Source organism: Homo sapiens, chromosome 15, assembly GCF_000001405.40.
Source record: "Homo sapiens chromosome 15, GRCh38.p14 Primary Assembly".
NCBI lineage: Eukaryota > Metazoa > Chordata > Mammalia > Primates > Hominidae > Homo > Homo sapiens.
Window position 1 is genome coordinate 82716823 of NC_000015.10, and position 23194 is coordinate 82740016.

General features: G+C 42.8%; 1 pseudogene across 1 annotated transcript; it reads right to left on the bottom strand.

Moving 5' to 3' along the window:
* Nucleotides 1-9057: 9057 nt before the first annotated feature.
* ACTG1P17 (actin gamma 1 pseudogene 17) lies at nucleotides 9058-22958 on the bottom strand (annotated as a pseudogene). The gene is made up of 3 exons (NR_036446.1): nucleotides 22942-22958; nucleotides 21692-21792; nucleotides 9058-10609 (listed from the first exon to the last, which is right to left on the bottom strand). The product of NR_036446.1 is annotated as an actin gamma 1 pseudogene 17 (transcript).
* Between the last annotated feature and the right edge of the window lie 236 nt (nucleotides 22959-23194).

Consider the following 23194-nt stretch of genomic DNA (forward strand, 5'->3'; position numbering starts at 1 on the left):
TCCCAGGCTTATTAGGACGAGGAAATTCCCACCTAATAAATTTTTGGTCAGACTGGTGGTCTGCTCTCAAACCCTGTCTCCTGATAAGATGTTATCAATGACAATGTGTGCCTGAAACTTCATTAGCAATTTTAATTTCACCCCGGTCCTGTAGTCCTGTGATCTCACCCTGCCTCCATTTGCCTTGTGATATTCTATTACCTTGTGAAGCATGTGATCTCTGTGACCCACACCCTATTCGTACACTCCCTCCCCTTTTGAAAATCACTAACAAAAACTTGCTCAGGGGGGCATCACGGAACCTGCCAACATGTGATGTCTCTCCCAGACATCCAGCTTTAAAATTTCTCTCTTTTGTACCTTGTCCCTTTATTTCTCAGACTGGCCGACACTTAGGGAACACAGAAAAGAACCTACGTGAAATATCAGGGGTGAATTTCACCCAATATCTGGCTGAATATCCCCCGATACTCCTTCTCAAAAATAAAATAAAATAAAAAACACAAAAATACAAAAATTAGCCGGGCGTGGTGGCGGGTGACTGTAATCACAGCTATTCAGGAGGCTGAAGCAGAGAACTGCTTGAACTCGGGAGACGGAGGTTGCAGTGAGCTGAGATCATGCCACTGCACCCCAGCCTAGGCAACAGAGCAAGACTCCATCTTAAAAAAAAAAAAAAAAGAGAGGGATGTTAAGACTTTCAAATATGATTGTGGCATCATCTATTTCTCCCATTAATTCTGTCAAATTTTGCTCTGTGGATTTTGAGATTAAATTGTTATGTTAATTTTTTTTTTTTTTTTTTTTTGAGATGGAGTCTTCGCTCTGTCACCCAGGCTGGAGTGCAGTGGCCCAATCTCGGCTCACTGCAAGCTCTGCCTCCCAGGTTCATGCCATTCTCCTGCCTCAGCCTCCTGAGTAGCTGGGACTACAGGAGCTCACCACCACGCCCAGCTAATTTTTCTGTATTTTCAGTAGAGATGGAGTTTCACCGTGTTAGGATGGTCTCGATCTCCTGACCTTGTGATCTGCCTGCCTCGGTCTCCCAAAGTGCTAGGATTACAGGCGTGAGCCACCGCGCCCGGCCTTAAATATTTTATGATTGTTGTCTTTTATCATTATGAATGTTCCTCTGTATCTCTGCTAACACTTTTTGCTTTGAAGTCTATTTTATCTGATATTATGCTCACTATTTGCATCTATATCTTTTACCATCCATTTACTGTCAATCTATTTATGTCTTTATGTTTAAAATGTATCTCTTGCTTTTTTCATTTTGTTAATCTCTGTGTTTTGTTTGTTTGTTTGTTTTTGTTTTTTTAACAGAGAGTTTTTTGCTCTGTCACCCAGACTAGTGTGTGCAGTGGCATGATCATAATGCACTGCAGCCTCAAATTCCTGGGCTCAACTGATCCTGCCACCTCAGCCTCCCAAGCAGCTGGGACTACAGGCAAATGCCACCATGCCCAGCTAATTTTTTCATTTTTTTATTTTTAGTAGAGATGGGGTCTTGCTATGCTACCCAGGCTAGACTTGAACTCCTGGGCTAAAGCAATCCTCCTGCCTTGGCCTCCCAAAGTGCTGGGATTATATGCATGAGCCACTGCACCCTGCCAATCTCTGCCTTTTAATTGGGCTGTGTAGTCCATAGATATTTAATGTAATAATTGATATGGTTGAATTTAGGTCTATCATTATTTATTTGTTTTCAGCTTTTGCCTTCTGATATTTGTTTCTTGGTTCTTCCTTTCTTGTCTTCTTTTGGCATATTTGAATTTTTTTTAAAATAATTCTGGCTGGGTATGGTGGTTCATGCTTATAATCCCAGGACTTTGGGAAGTGGGGCAGGGAGGATCACTTGAGCTCAGGAGTTGGAGACCAGCCTGGGCAACATGGTGAGACCCCACCTTGACAAAAAATTTCAAAAATTAGCCAAGTGTGGTGGCACACACCTATCATCTCAGCTACTTGGGAGGTTGAGGTGAGAGGATCACTTGAGCCCAGGATGTTGAGGCTGCAGTGAGCCACGTCAGGTTCCTGCCACTACACTCCAGCCTGGGCAACTGAGAGAGATCCTGTCTCAAAAAAAAAAAAAAAAAGAATTCCATTTTAATTATCTATTGACATTTAGCTCTACCTCTTTGTCTTATATTAGTGGTTTCTCTAGAGATTGTGATGTAACTACCTAACTTTTCACAGTCTACTTAGAGATATTATTGTATGACTTCACATAAAACATAAAAGCCTTGCAACTGTATAGGTCCACTTACTACCATCTCCTGCCCCATCTTTTATGCTGTATTTGTCATATGTGTTATAACTACATATATTATAAACCCCAGAAATGTTACACTTTTTGCTTTAAGCTGTCCTGTGCATTTTAAAGAGAGTGAGAATAAAAAAGTATTTTGCTTTTCCTCATGTATTTACCATTTCTGATCCCCTTCATTCATTCTCGAATCTAAGATTTCATTCATTCTTGAAGGTCTAAGATTTTCTCTGATAGCATTTCTCCTTAGCCTGAAAAATTTCCTTCAGCACTTCTTGTGGTGTAGATCTGCTGGCAATGAATTTTCTTAGTTTTACCCGAAAATACCTTTATTTTATATTTATCATCCTATTGGACATAGAACTCTGTATTAACTGTCCTTTTTCTTTCAGCACTTTTAAAGATTTTTCTCCAGTATATCTGTACTTCATAGTTTCAGGTGAGAAGTCAATGATCCTTCAAGTTGTTGTTCTCCAAATTGTCATGTGTTATCTTTGGCTGCTTTCAAAATTTTCTCTTTATCTTTGTTTTCAGTAGTTTCATTATGATGTGAATAGGAGTGGTTTCCTTCATATTTATCTGTGGTTCCCTGAGATTTTTGAATCCGTAAATTTATCTCTTACCAAATTTGAGTATTTGGGGCCATTATTTCATTAAAGTTTTTTTCTGCCCCATTTTCTTTCCCATCTTCTTCTAGAACTCCAATAAATACCACTACTTTAGTATTGTTCGATAGGTCAATTTTTTTCAGAGAAAGATGTGTCTCAATATTTCTTTGATTTCACTGACCCATTCTTCTGACACCCCCAATTTGCTTGTTAAGCTCGCACATTGAATATATTATTTTATTTATTTTTAGGTCTAGAATTTCTATTTTTTCAAATTTTCTTTTCTCTGCTAAAACTCTCTATCCATGTGTTCATTATCACTATCTTCTTTAAAGTCTTTTGTAAATATCCATATCTGCCTCAAAGTTTTTTTCCCCAACATTTGGGTGATCTTGGTATCTATTTCCATTGACATTTTTATTGTTGAATTACATTTTCTTTCTTTTTTCTTTTTCTTTTATTTTGAGACAGAGTCTCCCTCTGTCAACCAGGCTGGAGTGCAATGGTGTGATCTCGGCTCACTGCAACCTTGGCCTCCCGGGCTCAAGTGATTCTCGTGCCTCAGCCTCCCAAGTAGCTGGGATTACAGGTATGAGCCACCACGCCCAGCTAATTTTTGTATTTTTAGTAGAGATGGGGTTTTGCCATGTTGGCCTGGCTGGTCTCGAACTCATGGCTTCAAGTGATCCGCCCACCTTGGCCTCCCAACGTACTGGGATTACAGTTGTGAGCCACTGCACCCAGCCTACATTTTCTTTCTTTCTGTTTTTATCTTTTCTTCCTCTTCCTCTTCCTCCCCTCCCCCTCCCCCTCCCCTCCCCCTGCCCCTCTTCTTCCTCTTCCTCTTCCTCTTCTTCTTCTTCTTCTTCTTCTTCTTCTTCTTCTTCTTCTTCTTCTTCTCCTTCTTCTTCTTCTCCTTCTTCTTCTTCTTCTTCTTCTTCTTCTCCTTCTCCTTTCTTCTTGCCTAGGATTTAAAAAAATTGTGGCTAGGCGAGGTGGCTCTCGCCTGTAATCCTAGCACTTTGGGAGGCCGAGGCAGGTGGATCTCAAGGTCAGCAGTTTGAGACCAGCATGGCCAGCATGGTGAAACCCCGTCCATACTAAAAATATAAAAGTTTGCTAGGCATGGTGGCACACGCATGTAATCCTAGTTATTCGGGAGGCAGATGTAGGAGAATCGTTTGACCCCGGGAGGTGGAGGCTGCAGTGAGCCAAGAGCACGCCACTGGACTCCAGCCCCCCATCCCCCACCAAAAAATAGTATAATGAACATTGAGTATGATACAGTGTAGAGATTCTGGATTCTTTTAGCTTCCCCTGAAGAATGTTTATTTTTGTACTAGCAAGCCTCAAACTTGTGGAATCCTAATTTAACTCTTTTTTATGATGATTCTATTAAAAGTTTTACCCCCATTATTATGATGAATTCCTTCATCCTGGGATATAGTCTTTTAAGGTGTGACTTCTATGGGATTTCAGTAGACAGTCCAAGGCATTTGCCAAGCCCCTTTAAATTTCTGAAAATTGAACCACAAATTCTGCCTCCCTTGGAGTATGCAGCAACTGAAATATCTGCCCTTTTCCTTCTGCCTTTCAACTACTGCTTTCTACTGAGCTCCTTGGAGTTTCACTTCATGGACGTGTAGTAAGGGGTTATCCAAGAATTTGAAGACATTTCATGCATTGATCTTGGGAATCTTGTCTCTGAAGATTCCTCCTTTCAGGGATATCCTCCATCAATTTGCAGTTGCTCTAGAAACCCTGAACTTTCTCGACCAATATCTTTTTTTTTTTTTTTTGAGATGGAGTCTCACTCTGTCACCCAGGCTGGAGTGCAGTGGCGCGGTCTCGGTTCACTGCAAGCTCCGCCTCCCAGGTTCACGCCATTCTCCTGCCTAAGCCTCCCGAGCAGCTGGGACTACAGGCGCCTGCCTCCACGCCTGGCTAGTTTTTTGTATTTTTAGTAGAGAAGGGGTTTCACCGTGTTAGCCAGGATGGTCTCCATCTCCTGACCTCGTGATCCACCCGCCTGGGACTCCCAAAGTGCTGGGATTACAGGTGTGAGCCACCGCACCCAGCCATATATATATATGTTTTTGTTTTTGTTTTTGTTTGACGGAGTCTCGCTCTGTAGCCAGGCTGGAGTGCAGCGGCATGATCTTGGCTCACTGCAACCTCCGCCTCCCAGGTTCAAGCAATTCTCTTGCCTCAGCCTCCCGAGTAGCTGGGACTACAGGCATGTGCCACCATGCCCGGCTAATTTTTGTATTTTTAGTAGAGACGAGATTTCACCATGTTGGCCAGGATAGTCTCAATCTCTTGACCTCGTGATCCACCCACCTCAGCCTTCCAAAGTGCTGAGATTACAAGCATGAGCCACCGTGCCTGGCCTCTCCACCAATATCTTAAGCTGAGAAGTCTATAGCTTTGTGCATGAGTTCTAGCATCTCACAGTGTGTAAACTGGGGTGTCCCTAAGAAGGAAACTTTGGCCGGGCGTGGTGGCTCATACCTGTAATCCCAGCACTTTGGGAGGCTGAGGTGGGTGGATCATGAGGTCAGGAGATCCAGACCATCCTGGCTAACATGGTGAAACCCCGTCTGTACTAAAAATACAAAAAATTAGCTGGGTGTGGTGGCGGGCGCCTGTAGTCCCAGCTACTTTGAGGCAGGAGAATCGCTTGAACCCAGGAGGCAGAGCTTGCGGTGAGCCGAGGTTGGGCCACTGCACTCCAGCCTGGGCGACAGAGCAAGACTCCATCTCAATAAATAAAAAAAAAAAAAGAAGAAGAAGAAGAAGAAAACTTTGGAAACATGGATCTCATTCAGTGCACTTCTCTTTTTTCTGGGGTCAAATCTCCAGGTTCTACGGGCTCTTGAATTCTGTCTAGTTCCTCCATGTTGTTTTTTAAATTTTATTTTTTTAATTGACATTCAGTAAATGTCAATTGTACATTTCTATGAATTTTAACATATGTATAGATGCATCACAAGATACAGAATAGTTCTACCATCCCCCAAAACTAACTCTTTTCAACATCTTATACTAGTATGGTCCACATGTCTCAATTGGTGAACCAATGTTAGTACATTATTATTAACTAAGGTCCATACATTATTCAGCTTCCCTTAAGTTTTTGGCTATAGTCCTTTTCTTGTTCCAGGATTCCATCCCAGCACTATATTACATTTAGTCATCATGTCTCTTTGGGTTCCTCTTGTCACCATGGTTTTAATTTGCATTTCCCTAATTAATGTTAAACATATTTTATGTGCTTATCTGCCATCTATATAATCTCTTTGGTGAAGTATCTCTTCAAATCTTTTGCTATTTGTATTGAAATGTAGTTTACATGCCATAAAATTCATCATTTTATTTATATATTTATTTAATTTTTTTTTTTTTTGAGACAGAGTCTCTCTCTGTAGCCCAGGCTGGAGTGCAGTGGCGCAATCTTGGCTCACTGCAACATCCGCCTCCCAGATTCAAGTGATTCTCTTGCCTCAGCCTCCCGAGTAGCTGGGACTACAGGCATGCACCACCACCGGCTAATTTTTGTATTTTTAGTAGACAGGGTTTCACCATGTTGGCCAGGCTGGTCTCAAACTCCTGACTTCAAGTGATCCACCCACCTTGGCCTCCCAAAGTGCTGGGATTATAGGTGTGAGCCACCGTGCCTGGCCAAATTCACCATTTAAAAATGTACAATTCATTTGGAGTTTTAAAAAGTATGTTTACAAGGTTGTATAACCATCACTACTATCTTTGGTGTGTTTTTTTTTTTTTTTTTGAGACAGAGTCTCACTTTGTTGCCCAGGCTGAAGTGCAGTGGTGCAATCTCGGCTCACTTCAACCTCTACCTCCTGGGTTCAAGTGATTCTCTTTCCTCAGTCTCCCAAGTAGCTGGGATTACAGGTGTGCACCACTGCGCCCAGCTAATTTTTGTATTTTTAATAGGGACTGAGTTTCACCATGTTGGCCAGGCTGGTCTTGAACTCCTGACCTCAGGTTGTCCACCTACCTTGGCCTCCTAAAGTGCTGGGATTACAGGCATGAGCCACCTCACCTGGCCCCATCACTACTATCTAATTCCAGAACATTTTCATCACCCTCCAAAAATATCTCATATTCATTAGGCAGTCACTCCCCTATTCTCTCCTCTCCTAATAACCACAAATCTGCTTTTTGTCTCTATGAATTTATCTATTATGGACACTTTGTATAAATGGAATTATATAATGTATGGCCTTTTGTGACTGGTTTCTTTCATTGAGCATGTTTTCAAGATTCATCCATGTTGTACCATGTACCAGTACTTCATTCCTTTTTTTTCTTTTTTGAGACAGGGTCTTGCTGTTGCCCAGGCTGGAGTACAGTGGCATGATCACATCTCACTGCAGCCTTGACATCCCAGGCTCACACAATCCTCCCACCTCAGCCTCCCAAGTAGCTAGGATCACAGGCACATGCCACCATACCCAGCTATTTTTTTTTTTTTTTAATAGAGACAGGGTCTCACTGTGTTAGCCAGGCTGGTCTCAAAACTCCTGGCTCAAACAGTCCTCTCACCTCACCCTCCCAAAATACTGGGATTACAGGCATGAACCACTGCGCCTTGCCTTCATTCCTTTTAATGAACATATAATATTCCATTTTATGTATATACATTTTGTTTATCCATTCATCAGTTGATAGGCATTTGGATTGTTTCCACTGTTTGAATATTATAAATAATGGTACTATGACAATTCATGTACAAGTTTTTGTTTGAACATATGTTTTCACTTCTCTTGAGTATATGCCTAGGAGTGCAGTTGCTGGGTCATATGAAAATTCTGCTTAACTTTTTAAAGAAACTTGCCAAAGCAACTGCACCATTTTACATTTCCATGAGCAATGTTTCAGTTTCTCTACATCCTCACCAATTCTTGTTTTTATCTGTATTTTTTATTATGGCCATTCTAGCAACTGTGAAGTAATATTTCATTGTGGTTTGGGTTTGCATTTCCCTGATGAGTAATGATGTCGAGTATCTTTTCATGTGCCTATTGGCCATTTGTAGATCTTTCTTTTTTTTTTTTTTAGACGAAATCTCACTCTGTCTCCCAGGCTGGAGTGCAGTGGTGCAATCTCGGCTCACTGCAACCTCCACTTCCCAGTTCAAGCGATTCTTGTGTCTCAGCCTCCTGAGTAGCTGAGACTATGACCACCACGCCCAACTAATTTTTGTATTTTTAATAGAGACAGGGTTTCACCATGTTGGCCAGGCTGGTCTCAAACTCCTGACTTTAAGTGATTCACCTGCTTTGGCCTCCCAAAATGCTGGGATTACAGGGGTGAGCCACCACGCCCTGCCAATGCTTTGCTTTTGATGTTATATTTGAGAAACTTGCCTACTTTAAAGTCACAAAGATGTATACCTACGTTTTCTCCTAAGAGCTTCTAGTTTTAGTTCTTACTTTTAGGCCTTTGATCTACTTCGAGTTAATTTTTTATGTGGTGTGAGGTAGGCATCCAACTTCATTCTTTTGCATGTAGATATCCAGTTGTCCCAGCATCATTTATAGAAATGGTCTTTTCCCCCACTGAATTATCTTGGGATTGTGGTTAAAAATAGATTAGCCACAGAAAAAAAAAAAGAAAACCAAAATTTGTTGTCATCTCTTAAAGAATTAAGAATTGTACATAAAAACCTTACATCAATTAAAACAATGAATACATTTACAGTGTAAATGCAAACTTCTTCCAGCTCAAGGCAAGTAACAGCCTACCGGTGTCCTGGCAGGAAAACATCAGGAAAGAAAGGAAACTGGGTCCTAAGGTTTGGACTTTTCCAACCCTGACAGACGGGCAAGACAGAAATGACAACTGGTGGAGGAGCTCCTGCCGGTCTCTAGACGAATTCTGGAACCCTGAGCTCCGACACATTAGTACCCTGCACAGATGGAGAGACTGCAGGTCAGGCAGAATCACCAAGCCACGGACTTCTCTTCCACAAGCATGTTCTCACCTCTGCCATGAAGTGACTAAGCCACATGTACTAAGGGTTTAAATCAAAGATAAGTACAAGGTATTAAATACCAAGGGAACATTTAACTTCAGTACAAGGTCAAAATCAGCAACAAATCCTACAATCCAGTGCTGACATCAGATACAAGCTTCAAGGACAAATTTCTTTTCTTTTTTTTTTTTTTTTTTTTGAGACGGAGTTTCACTCTTGTTGCCCAGGCTGGAGTGCAATGACGCGATCTCAGCTCACCTCTGCCTCCCAGGTTTAAGCGATTCTCCTGCCTCAGCCTCCCGAGTAGCTGGGATTACAGGCATGTGCCACTATGCTCGGCTAATTTTGTATTTTTAGTAGAGACGGGGTTTCTCCATGTTGGTCAGGCTGGTCTCAAACTCCCGACCTCAGGTGATCCGCCCGCCTGGGCCTCCAAAAGTGCTGGGATTACAGGCATGAGCCACTGCACCCAGCCTGACAAATTTCTTTTCAAAGGCTTATTCCAGTTTCCTAAGGCTAGCATGAGATGTATACATTTTCCAGGGACAAATTTGTACTTCTGAATTGACTCAGGCAGCACAGGCTACGTATCTCATCACAGTCCATTTAGAAGCATTTGCGGTGAACAGTGGAGGGGCCTGACTGGTGGCACTCCCGCTTGCTGATCCACATTGGCTGGAAGGTGGACAGTGAGGCCAGGATGGAGCTGCTGATCCACATGGAATACTTGTGCTCAGAGACAGCCATGATCTTGATCTTCATGGTCCTGGGTGCTGGGGCAGTGATCTCCTTCTACATCCTGTGTGTGATACTTGGGTGCATGGCAATGCTGCCAGACAGCACCACATTGGTGTACAGGTCCTTGCAGATATCCACATCACACTTCATGATGGAGGTCAAGATGGTCTCCTGGATGCAGCAAGATTCCATGCCCAGGAAGGAGGGCTGGGACAGCGCCTCTGGACACCAGAACCACTCATTGCTGATGGTGACCACCAGGCTGTGGGAGAGCTTGTAGCTCTTCTCCAGGAAGGAAGAGGACACGGCAGTGGCCATCTCCTGCTGCAAGTCCAAGGCAACACAGCATAGCTTTTCCTGGATGTCACGCACAATCCCCCACTTCACTGTGGTGATGAAGCTGTAGCGGGCCCCTCGAGGATCTTCACCACGTAGTCGGCCAGGTCCCGGCCAGCCAGGGCCAAACACAGGATGACTGGGAGAGGGTGGCTGTATCCTTGGAGATGGGCAAGTGTGGGTGACCCCATCGCCTGAGTCCCCCATGGTGCCAATGGCACTGACAGAGGCATGCAGGGACAGGGTGACCTGAATGGCCCTGTACTTGACTGGGGTGTTGAAGGCCCCAAACATGATCTGAATCATCTTCTCTCTGTTGGCCTTGGGGCTCGGGGGCCTCGGTCAGCAGCACCAGTTGCTCCTTAGGGGCCACGTGCAGCCCATTGCGGAAGGTATGGTGCTAGATCTTCCCCATGTGGTCCCAGTTGGTGATGAGGCCTGCTCCATGGGGTGCTTCAGGATCAGGATGCTGCTTGCTCTGGGCCTCATCGCCCACATAGGAGTCCTAGCCCCTGCCCACCATCATGCCCTGGTGCCAGGGGTGCCTGACAATGGAGAGGAACATGACTTGAGGGCATTGTCCCCAGCAAAGGCAGACTTGCACATGGCAAAGCTATTGTCAACAATGAGCAAGGTGATTTCTGCTTCCATTGTGATCTGTCGGGGAAATGATGAGACAATGTCGAGTGTGGTCTGGCACCAGCCAGGGAGAAATTTAAATAATTTTTACCTAAAATTGTAATACATTATTCTATTTTGGTATAAATAAAATGGTTAAATAACATTGTGAGTTTTAATACACTTTTCAGTTTTTCTGTATTTTTCAACCACTTCCGCGTTCTGAAAAAAGCAACAATTTAAGAATATATTACAAAGTGTATGGTGCACACATTTTTTTATTTGCCTCAGGAGCCAATATGTTGAGACATGGCATTGTTGATTCAGCTGTGTGGGGCTTAACTATTGGAAAAGAGATTTTTATTTTTACTCTATGAGTTTGAGTATAGTGTGGAAAATCATCTGCTAAAAGTATCCCCATTTTACAGATGAAGACCCTATTAAGAAAGGCTAAGCAACCGCCCAAGGTCCCCAGCTCTGCTAGGTAGTTACCCTAGAGCTTGTGTTATTGGCCTCCATTCATGATATTTATAGACTTGATTAGCTAATAATCAGGTATTGTTTCTTGTATGTGGCTTTGTCTCTATTGATTGCATCCATTATATGTTAATATTTGCTTCTTACAGAATATTTAATAAGGTTGAAATATGAGTGGAAGGGACTTTATATACCACGGAGATAACTTAATCCATCCTGCAGTTCCCTAAGGAGCCAATAAAGGTGTCTAAGCCATAGAAATTGTGTAATTATATATATATATATAGTTTTTTTTTTTTTGAGATGGAGTCTCAACTCTTGTCACCCAGGCTGGAGTGCAATGGCACGATCTCGGCTCACTGCAACCTCCGGCTCCCAGGTTCAAGCGATCCTCCTGCCTCAGCCTCCCGAGTAGCTGGGATTACAGGCACCCACCATCATGGCCAGCTAATTTTTTTGTATTTCTGTAGAGACCACGTTGGCCAGGCTGGTCTCGAACTCCTAACCTCATGTGATCCGCCCACCTTGGCCTCCCAAAGTGCTGGTATTACAGGCGTGAGCCACTGCGCCTGGCCTAGATATGTTTGAAAGAATAACGAGGGGCCAGTATAAAAGATAAACTGGAAACAGAGAAAGCAAGTTTTTTTAGGGTTGCTGGATGAGGGCAAATGCATAATTAAATGACGAATGTGTTCATTAAGGCAGTGGTGGGAAGAACAAAAAGAAGAGGACATAAAAGAGTGATTGAGGTGATTGACAAAAGAAGGGACATAAAAGAGTGATTGACACTTGAGTATCCTTTGAGTTGGGTTGTTCCTAGCCATCCTTTCCGATCTTCCTTCCTAACTTAAGTAGGTTAAGGATTAAGGTTTCTTCCACTCTAGTTCTTGATTCATGTTCACTGGTAAATAACACCACTTCAGACTCTTTCAAAGTGCTATAATATTGATTTATTTGATCCTCTCAAAAGAAGAGTACAGACAACCATTTTAGAATGACTGTTAAGGGTCTTAACTTTAAGGTTCAAAGGACACACAACTCAGCTGTTCTGCAGTTGAACCCTGTGGGTAACAACACAGACGAACTTCAGTCTGTTTGGCTGATGGGGCTGTGGAGAGAGCAGGACACACGTCTTCATGAAGTTTCAGTCCTGACAGTTTCTCATAAGGTATCATTTCTTACCTCTCTTTAGGACCATTCTGAGAGAATACATGTAGAGATCTTCAAATCAGGAAGGTCATCACCACTATCTTTCTTGCCATTATCATATCAATCTTCCCCAATAGTAACACAGGACTTCTCTTATAGCATCCAGCTAAACTGGTTTTTCACTTACTGATGCTTCCTAGAGCCTAGGAAAAGCATAGAGGACCTACCTGTCTATCCCTCTGTTCTGGACTGTTGATTCCATAGTTGATTCCTACCTCCAGGGGAATGCTACAGATGCCTCCCTTCCCAACCAAGCAACAGGGACTAAGCAATTAAGAACAAATTTTCCTCTAAAGTTGTGTCATATCACAGATTATTACCATTATCTGGCCTCTTCAAAAGAGAATGCATTTTCCTCTATATGTAACCATGAATGTATATATGTCCAAATGGATTTGTTCATCTGTGTTGAACTTGGGAGAACCTTTAGTGATCTTCTATGGAATTCCCACATGTGCTTTTATTTGTGGGTCTGAGGTCCCAACGGGAAAAATAGAGAACTGATCACTATCCTGGATCTTCTCACACAAGTATGGGAACATCTGAACACTCATATTTAGAATGTTTGGGGATTTGAGTGGAAAAGGTATTGTTACTGGATAGAGTTGTTGAGGTTCTTGGTGTGTTGAACAAAGAATTGAACAAGGCCAGGCACAGTGACTCACACCTGTAATCCCAGCACTTTGGGAGGCCGAGGTGGGTGGATCATCTGAGGTCAGGAGTTTGAGACCAGCCTGGCCAACACGACGAAACCCCATCTCTACTAAAAATACAAAAATTAGCCAGGGGTGGTGGCGTGTGCCTGTCATCCCAGCTACCCAGGAGGCTGAGGCAGGAGAATCGCTGGAACCTGGGGGGGCAGAGGCTGCAGTGAGCCAAGATCGTGTCACTGCACTCCAGCCCGGGTGACAGAGCAAGACTCCGTCTCAAAAAAAAAATTAAAAAAAAAAAAGAATTGGACAAAGTAACAAAAGAACGGAGCAAGGAAAGAGCGAAAGCACAGGTTTATTAAAGACAATTCGCAGAGTAGGAGTGGGCTCCTGCAAGCAGCTCAAGAGCCTTCTCAATTACGGTTTTTATTAAGCTAAAGGAACCTAGCAACACCCCTTGATGCCCTGTAGAGGCCTCCAATTGGCTACACCGTGAAGGATTGGCTGAAACCGAGACCCGACCAGCAGTCAATCAGGGGCTGAAGTGGCTTGTTATCATGGGAGTGAGGATGTGGCCTATATGCTGCACCTGCTGCTCTCCTGCCAAATGATAACAACCCTATGTTTAAAAACAGCTGGCCGGGTGCGGTGGCTCACACCTGTAATCCCAACACTTTGGGAGGCCAAGGCAGGTGGATCATGAGGTCAGGAGTTCAAGATCAATCTGGCCAACATAGTGAAAGCCTGTCACTACTAAAAATACAAAAATTAGCCGGGTGTGGTGACGGGCACCTGCAAAGCTACTCAGGAGGCTAAGGCAGGAGAACTGCTTGAACCCGGGAGGCATCAGCAACCGTGCCTGGCCAGGAGCTTGATAGATTCTAACATGCAAATAAAAGAGCAAAGGGCCAAGAGTGGCCAAGACACTCTTGAAGAGTAAGGTGGGAGGATTTATTCTATCAACTATCTAGTCTTATTGAAACAGCCTCGTTTTCTGGAGTAACACTCAAGGTTCGTTGTCCCACGGCCATGGAGAACAAGAACAAGGACACACAAATAATGAGGTTAAGAGTGGAAGTTTAATAGGCGAAAGAAAGAGAAGAGCTCTCTGCTGCAGAGAGGGGTCCTGGTAAAATAGGTTCCAGTTCTGCGGTGAAATGCAGGGGGTTTTATAGATGAGCTGGTGAATAGGCGGTGTCTGATTTACCTAGGGTGCAAAAAACTGGTTATATCAGGTGTGCCATTTGCATAGGGCACGAATTTCTGGTAGCCCCCACCCTAATCTTCTATTATGCTGGCTGGTTCTCTGCCTGAGCTGTGCCATGTTGCCCATTTATCTATTACTGTACACATGGTAACAAAAAAAGGGAAGATGAAACCTCCAGGGTGGACATGCCTGGTCCCCAGGTAGCCCTTTTCTATTGGCACAGCTGTCGGCATTCCCCCAGCAAGCCTCTAGCTTCCTTATTTATGTTTGCAGCTTGATTTGTCAGGCTGCTCTTTGTTAGGAAAAAAATGATTCTTGGCTGGGTGCGGTGGCTCACGCCTGTAATCCCAGCACTTTGGGAGGCCAAGGCAGGCGGATCACAAGGTCAGGAGATCGAGACCATCCTGGCTAACAAGGAGAAACCCCGTCTCTACTAAAAATACAAAAATTAGTCAGGCGTGGTGGTGGGCGCCTGTAGTCCCAGCTACTCGGGAGGCTGAGGCAGGAGAATGGCGTGAACCCGGCAGGCGGAGCTTGCAGTGAGCCAAGATTGAGCCACTGCACTCCAGCCTGGGCGACAGAGCGAGACTCCGTCTCAAAAAAAAAAAAAAAAAAGATTCTTGGGCTTTTTGTTAGACTGGAAGCTCTGCTGAAGACTCTGCTGACCTCACTATCTGCCTAAGTAATTTCTTTCTACCTCCTGTATCATTATGACAAAGCTATAGTAATTACGATACTCTGGTATTGGTTCAAAATTAAACAAAATGATTGATAGAACAAATTAGAGGTCCTAGAAGCAGACCCACACATATGCAAGCTTGATATGACAGAGGGGGCATTGGAGATCAGAGGGGAAAGGAATAGTCATTTAATGACTAGATCTGGGACTACTGATTATCAAATCAAAGTGAAAAATAAAACTGGGTCCCTATCTCACACCACATAAAGGTCCCTATCTCACATCACACAAAATTCTATAGATAATTAAAACTAAATTTAAAAAAATAATATCTCCTAGAGAAGTTTTGTTTTTTTGTTTTTTGTTTTTTTTGTTTTTTTTTTTTGTTTTTTTTTTGATTAGAGGTGCCTGCCACCACGCCCGGCTAATTTTTGTATTTTTAGTAGAGACGGTGTTTCACCATCTTGGCCAGGCTGGTCTCGAACTCCTGACCTTAAGTGATCTACCTACCTTGGCCTCCCAAAGTGCTGGGATTACAGGTGTGAGCCACCGCACCTGGCCTAATTTTTGTATGTGGACTATCATGTTCTTATAAAACTATGCTTTCCTTGGTGTTTTTATTAACCTCTTTATTTGAGAAAATGAAACATACTCTGTTACCTTTTTTGGTGATGATCATCTAGCTTCTTAATCTTAACTATTTGTTAACTGGAATCTACTTTTTGTTTCAATGCATTTGCTGACCCTCTGGAATCCTGCTCAAATGAGGATCCATTATTTCCTAGGCTTTCTGCAAAGATAACATCCTGGAATTTCTTTTCATTGCATTCCTAGGTTGGGTCCTTTTTACTAGCTCACATGTTTCATTCTCTCCAATGTATATCCTTAAATTTTTTTTCAGAAAAATATGGAAGCGAAATAAATGTGAGTTCTTGCATCTCTGAAATATCTATTTTACTCTTTCATGTATTTGTCTGGTATAGAATTATAGATTCAAACAACTTTCTGTTCCGACTTTGAAGGTACTGCTTCAATATCTTCTTGTGTACCTTTTTGCTGATGACAAAACAGATGCCAATCCAATTCTCATTCTTGTTTAGGTAACCTCTGTTTTCCTTCTCTGGAAACTTTTAGGCTCTTCCTTTAATCTTTATTATTCCAAAATCTTGAAGGATTTGTCATAGGCATTTGAACCAGAGCAACTCCATCTTGAATAGGTGCTGAGACCTACTGGGCTGCACTTCCAGGAGGTTATGCATTGTAAATCACAGGATGAGATAGGAGGTCAGCAAAGATACTGGTCATAAAGACCTTGCTGATAAAACAGGTTGCAGGAAAGAAGCTGACTGAAACCCACCAAAACCAAGATGGTGACAAGTCACCTCTGGTCGTCCTCACGGTTCATTACACACTAATAATACATTAGCACGCTTGGAGACACTCCCACCAGCACCATGACAGTTTACAAATATCATGCCAATGTCAGGGAGACCCTATATGGTCTAAAAGGGGGAGGAACGCTTAGTTCCGGGAAACTAACTTTCTAAAGTTAGTTTTAGTACTTTCTAAAGTACTAAATTCCTTTCCTGGAAAACTTGTGAATAATCTACCCCTTGTTTAGCATATAATGAAGATGTAACTATAAGTATCCTTAGTGGGGCAGCCCAAGCTGCTGCTCTGCCTCTGGAGTAGCCAACTTTTATTCCTCTGCCTCTTAAAAAACTCACTTTCACTTTACTCTATGGACTGGTCCCGAATTCTTTCTTGTGCAAGATCCAAGAACCCATTCTTGGGGTCTGGATCGGGACTGCTTTCCGGTAACAGGTTTCTGTGTATGTATGTGTGTGTGTGTGTTTAAATTTGCTGTGTGTACAGATATGTGTGTATATATATGTGTTTAAAATTTACTGTGCTTGGTACATTTTCAATATAAAAACATGTATCTCTAAGTTACCTGACTATTTGTTCTCCTAGTATTTCTTTGCTTCAATTTTTTTCCTGATTTTTTTTCTTAACTTCTATTAGGTAGTTAGTAGATATCCTAGGCTAACATAATTTTTTCCAATTATCTTTTGGGGAAGGATGTTTTTGTTTGTTATCCCAATACTATTAAATTTTTATTTTGACAATCGTTTTTAATTTCTAAGAGTTCTCTTATTTGCATTGTTCCTTTTCCATAGCAGCCTATTCTTGACTTATGATGCAATATCCTCAAATCTCTTCACAGATACTAATTTTTTTAGTATACATAGATACATAAATTTTTTTCCAAAGTTTTCTCTGTTTCTTGTATAAATTGTAATCCATGGGAACAGCTCTTTTTTCAATAACGCCCTTTTCTTACTTGCTGTTAGTTTTCTTCAAATGTCTAGTAAATCTGGGTTGAACATTTAAGAAGATTTGCATAAAAACAAAGGACTAGGGCCAGGCGCAATGGCTCATGCCTGTAATCTTAACACTTTGAGAAACCCAGTCAGGAGGACTGCTTGAGGCCAGGAGTTTGAGACCAGCCTGGCCAACATAGTGAGACCTCGTCTCAACAAATAAATTAGCTGGGGCCAGGCACAGTGGCTCATGCCTGTAATCCCAACACTTTGGGAGGCTGAGGTGGGTGGATGACCTGAGGTCAGGAGTTTGAGACCAGCTTGGCCAACATGGTGAAACCCTGTCTCTACTAAAAAAAAAATACAAAAATCAGCTGGGTGTGATGGCATGTGCCTGCAATCCCAGCTACTCAGGAGACTGAGACAGGAGAATCGCTTGAACCCGGGAGGCAGAGGTTGCAGTGAGCCAAGACTGTGCCACTGCACTCCAGCCTGGGTGACAGAGGGAGTCTTTGTCTTTAAAAAAAAAAAAAAAAAAAAAGGCCGGGCGCGGTGGCTCACGCCTGTAATCCCAGCACTTTGGGAGGCTGAGGCGGGCGGATCACGAGGTTAGGAGATCGAGACCATCCTGGCTAACGCGGTGAAACCCCGTCTCTACTAAAAATACAAAAAATTAGCCGGGCGCGGTGGTGGGCGCCTGTAGTCCCAGCTACTCAGGAGGCTGAGGCAGGAGAATGGCGTGAACCTGGGAGGAGGAGCTTGCAGTGAGCCGAGATCGCGCCACTGCACTGCAGCCCGGGCGACAGAGTGAGACTCCGTCTCAAAAATAAAAAAAAAAAAAAAATTAAAAAAAAAAATTAGCTGGGCATGGTGGTACGCACCTGTAGTCCCAGCTACTCAGCAGGCTGAGGCAGGAGGATTGCTCGAGCCCAGGAGTTTGAGGCTGCAGTGAGCTATGATCATGCTACTGCGTTCTAGCCTGGGTGACAGAACGAAACCCTGTCCCTAAAAATAAATAAATAAATGACTAGGTAGCTGCTGGAGTTTCATCTGCTGCTGTGGGTTCAATTTTCATAGCTGACTTCTCTCTGGAATAGGAGGGATAATGTGAACTTTGTACATATATGGTGGATGTGTCAACTGGGAGGCTTCTTTTTAGGGTACACAGGCAGAAGGCAGAAAGAAGGGCCCTTCCGACTGCCAAAATGAGAAGAGCTTACCTACACTGGAAACTGGATTGTTCCAGAGGCAGATCATTTTCTTTAGGGAAGAGTGACTCCTTCAATTTTGGTTTTTAGTTTAGTTTTCCTTTAGTGACTGCTGCAGCTAGCCACTTTATATATAAGATTGGAGTAGGGAGAGTCACAGCATCAACTGGCACAAAGTGGTTTGTTTGATAGACTGTCTTTCAATTACCCCTTTGATATCAGTCCTATTTCCACTCTCCTTCTGCTCTTAGTCTGGAGCCTCTTAAAGGCATTCTTGGGAAAGAAGATTTCACATTTGCTAAATTCTCATTTGCACACGTTCCAGGCGATAGTTTTCTTTAGTCTATCTGCTAATAAGTTCCCACCCCATTGCTACTGTGGGAAAAACAATCAGCCCAGGATCCAGTTAAGAATCCCAGTGCAGGCCGGATGCGGTGGCTTATGCCTGTAATCCCAGCACTTTGGGAGGCCAAGGTGGGCAGATAACTTGAGGCCAGGAGTTCAAGACCAGCCTGGCCAACATGGCGAAACCCCATCTCTACTAAAAATACAAAAAATTAGTCAGGGATGGTGGTGCACACCTGTAGTCCCAGACACTCAGGAGGCTGAGGCAGGAGAATCGCTTGAACCCAGGAGGCAGAGGTTGCAGTGAGGTGAGATCGCACCACTGCACTCCAGCCTGGGTGACAAAGACTCCTGTCTCAAAAAAAAAAAAAAATACCAATGTAGGCCAGGTGTGGTGGCTCATGCCTGTAATCCCAGTACTTTGGGAGGCTGAGGTAGGAGGATTGCTTGAGCCCAGGAGTTTGAGACCAGTCTCGACAACATAGTGAGACCTACCCCCGCATCTCCACAAAAAACATAAAAAATAAAATCAGCCTGGTGTGGTGGTGCACATCTGTGGTCCTAGCTGCTCAGGAGGCTGAGGTGGGAGGGTCACTTGAACCAGAGAGGTTGAGGCTGCAGTGTACTATGATCATGCCACTGCACTCCAGCCTGGGTGACAGAGACCCTATCTCAATACAAAAGAATCCCAGGGCACATCTCAGACAGCAGAGGGATAGGGTACCTCCAGAAATAACTCTGATCAATAGTCTTCATAACAGGTTAATCTGTATGTTAAAGTTACTGATGGTCTGTGTTAAAAATGATTTAACTCCTTCCCTGTGTTATAAATGAATGGTCATCTAGTTACCCAAAGTTCCAAGTAGATTATCCTTCCAGAGGAAAATGAATCCATTAAGATGTTCAAATACTAGGCTGGAGGCAGTGGCTCACGCCTGTAATCCCAGCACTTTGGGAGGCTGAGGCGGGCAGATCACGAGGTCAGGAGATTGAGACCATCCTGGCTAACAGGGTGAAACCCTGTCTCTACTAAAAATACAAAAAAATTAGCCAGGCGTGGTGGCGGGCGCCTGTAGTCCCAGCTACTTGGGAGACTGAGGCAGGAGAATGGCATGAACCCGGGAGGCAGAGTTTGCAGTGAGCCGAGATCACGCCACTGCCCTCCAGCCTGGGTGAAAGAACGAGACCCTGTCTCAAAAAAAAAAAAAAAAGTTCAAATACTAACATTTGTCAACTAAAAATTAAATTTAAAAAAGATGTTCATATATTCCAAATCTCTCCCTTCTAGTTATATTTATTGATAACTTATTTCATTTGTATTCTAGAAGTTTCATGCCTTTCTTGTCAAATTGGTTAATTTAAATCAACGTATCAAAATAAAATATCTAAATACTACAAATCTTGAGCTTCTTAACCTAAAAATGCTGAAGGCTGGACCTCATCTTTTGGGAGATAAACTACCTGCTCTGTTGGGCACTGGTTTGAGAGGTCTGCCTGGCATTCACTAGCCAAACATGTTATGTCAGAGATATGATGTGTGCGCTTATTATGTGCCTGTCAGAGACAGTGGGGTTCTATGGAATATTACATGACTATTACAAGTGAATAGCAATATTAAAATAAGTTTTAAAAATAATGTTGAATGAATAAACAAGTGAATAAAATTGTTCACGTATAAAATGAACAGATGAACCTTAAAGTAGTTGGTGTTAATGGTGTTGTGGGTAGAAAATTTTATAATACTTTAATTCTGATTTAGTAACAAAGGAGTATTTTTACACAAAAGGAAAACCCTACAAACCAGCAAGTCTTCTTGGAAAGATAAGAAAAACTTATGCCAGGTGTGGTGGTTCACGCCTGTAATCCCAGCACTTTGGGAGGCTGAGACGGGTGGATCACTTGACATCAGGAGTTCAAGACCAGCCTGACCAACACAGAGAAACTCCGTCTCTACTAAAAATGCAAAATTAGCTGGGTGTGGTGGTGCGCACCTGTAATCCCAGGACTCAGGAAGACTGAGGCAGAAGAATCGCTTGAACTCGGGAGGCCGAGGTTGCAGTGAGCCAAGATCGTGCCATGCACTCCAGCCTGGGCAACAAGAGCGAAACTCCATCTCAAAAAATAAAAAGAAAAAGAAAAGAAAAACTTACATTATAATGATTATAATGAAGATAAAAAACTTCCTCAGAATTCCAATAGAAAAAATGAATCATTTAGAATTCAACTTTTACTAAATACATACAGATTCCAGCTTTCTCATCCATTAAGTGAATCCCTACAAAGTAAATACCATCTAGAAGGAAAGCCACAGAATACATAGTTCAGGACCGGCTGGGCGCGGTGGCTCACGCCTGTAATCCCAGCACTTTGGGAGGCTGAGGCGGGCGGCTCACGTGATCAGGAGATTGAGGCCATCCTGGCTAAGACGGTGAAACCCCGTCTCTACTAAAAATACAAAAACAAAATTAGCCGGGCGTGGTGGCAGGTGCCTGTAGTCCCAGCTACTTAGGAGGCTGAGGCAGGAGAATGGTGTGAACCCAGGAGGCAGATCTTGCAGTGATCTGAGATCATGCCACTGCTTTCCAGCCTGGGAGACAGAGCAAGACTCCGCCTCAAAAAAAAAAAAAAAGAATACATACTCCAGGACCTCCATTTTACAGTCAGGATGACTCAGCCTCATATAGAAACCTCACTCCATAATCTTCTGCAAAATTAGCACCAAATTCAGGCAGACCAGGTTTTTGTTGCTAGGGAGAACAGTTGCCAGAGAAACACACTAGAGGGTAAACACCAATAGATATATAAAAAGTATCAACGTCAATCACTCTGTATTTATTACTTTCACCTGCATTTCTAACCCATCTGTCATGGTCTATTATTATTACCCCCCTTTTATTTCTCATAAGACTCTCAGGCCCCACGAAGAATGCTAATAACAAAATTGTACATCTTAGTTAGCTTAGACTGCTATAACAAAGTACCATGTACTGGGTGTCTTAAACGACAGACATTTATTTCTCACCGTTCTGGAGGCTGAGAAGTTCAAGATCAAGGTGCTGGCAGATGTGGTTCCTGGTGAGGGTCCTCTTCCCAGTTTGCTGATGGCCTCCTTCTTGCTGTGTGCTTGCATGGCAGGGAGAGAGAGAGAGAAGCAAGTTCTCTGGTGTCTCTTAAGGGCACTAAAACTATTATGAGACCCCACCTTTATGATCTCATCTAAACATAATGACCTCCCAAAGGTTTCATCTTCATATACCATCATATTGGGGGTTAGGGCTTCGACACATGAATTTGGGGGGTCACAATTCATTGCATAGCATTGTACCTATTCAGCAGTATCCCTTTGAGAGTTATGTCCCAGCCCTGTGTCATGTTTTTATATGCAGAGGTTGACTTAGTCCTCATTATATAGCTGAGGGAACTGGGTCTAGTTCATTAACTACACTAAGGTTATAATCAGTAAGTTGTCACAGAGCTAGGATTTGAGCCCAGGCAGTCTGACTGTAAATCCCCAAATCCTAATTCCCTCCCTATATTGTCTCAACCACAGGAAAAATCACTTTGAAACCTGATTAACTGAGTTCAGGAGTTGTCACACTTTTATGGACTGGGTATAGAAGTACTCCAAACATTAATTAAACTGATTCTTTTGATAACTGCTTATAAGAAGATAAACCAGACAGACAATAAACGTTCACAATAGAAAGAGCTAAAAACAAAACTTTGGAGAATATGGACAGCCAGTTTGAAAGGAGGAATTTCTTGAATGCTGATCACATGAGACATGACTCGTCAGAAGCAACCACAGGTGTTAACTGATCAAACTGGCTAAGGATTTAAAAAGTTCCAGTGAGGGCCTAGGGAAGTGGCATTGTCCAACATGCTGGTAAATATGTATTTGCACTTCTTCTGAAGAGGAAATTTGAAAATAGGTATGTAAAGTTTCAAAAAAATTTATTCTTTTAACTAAATAAGTTAAACCTGGGTACTAATTCTAAGGAAGTCAAGATGTATGCAAAATTGTATGTACAAGGCTAGTCATTATATTACTTCAAAAATAGATTTATATATATTCTGATTATTAAAAACATGCTACTTATAAAAGAGTCAAGAAGACACAGCGATGTCCATAGAAATAAAAACAAAGACCTTAGGATTTTATCTCTTAGAACTTGCCATTGTTACAACTGGACCCCCCTACCCCTTAGTCATGTATATATATCTAATTTGAATTTTTATAACTCATTGGTTTTAAAAATGCACTTCTCTTACCTAGTTATTGATGCTCAAAATACAAATACATGCTTCCATCTTTTTTATTTTTGAGATGGAGTCTCACTCTTGTTGCCCAGGCTGGAGTGCAATGGTGTGATCTCAGCTCACCGCAACCTCTGCCTCCTGGGTTCAAGCAATTTTCCTGCCTCAGCCTCCCAAGTAGCTGGGATTACAGGCGTGCGCCACCATGCCTGGCTAATTTTCTGTATTTTTACTAGGGATGGGGTTTCTCCATGTTGGCCAGGCTGGT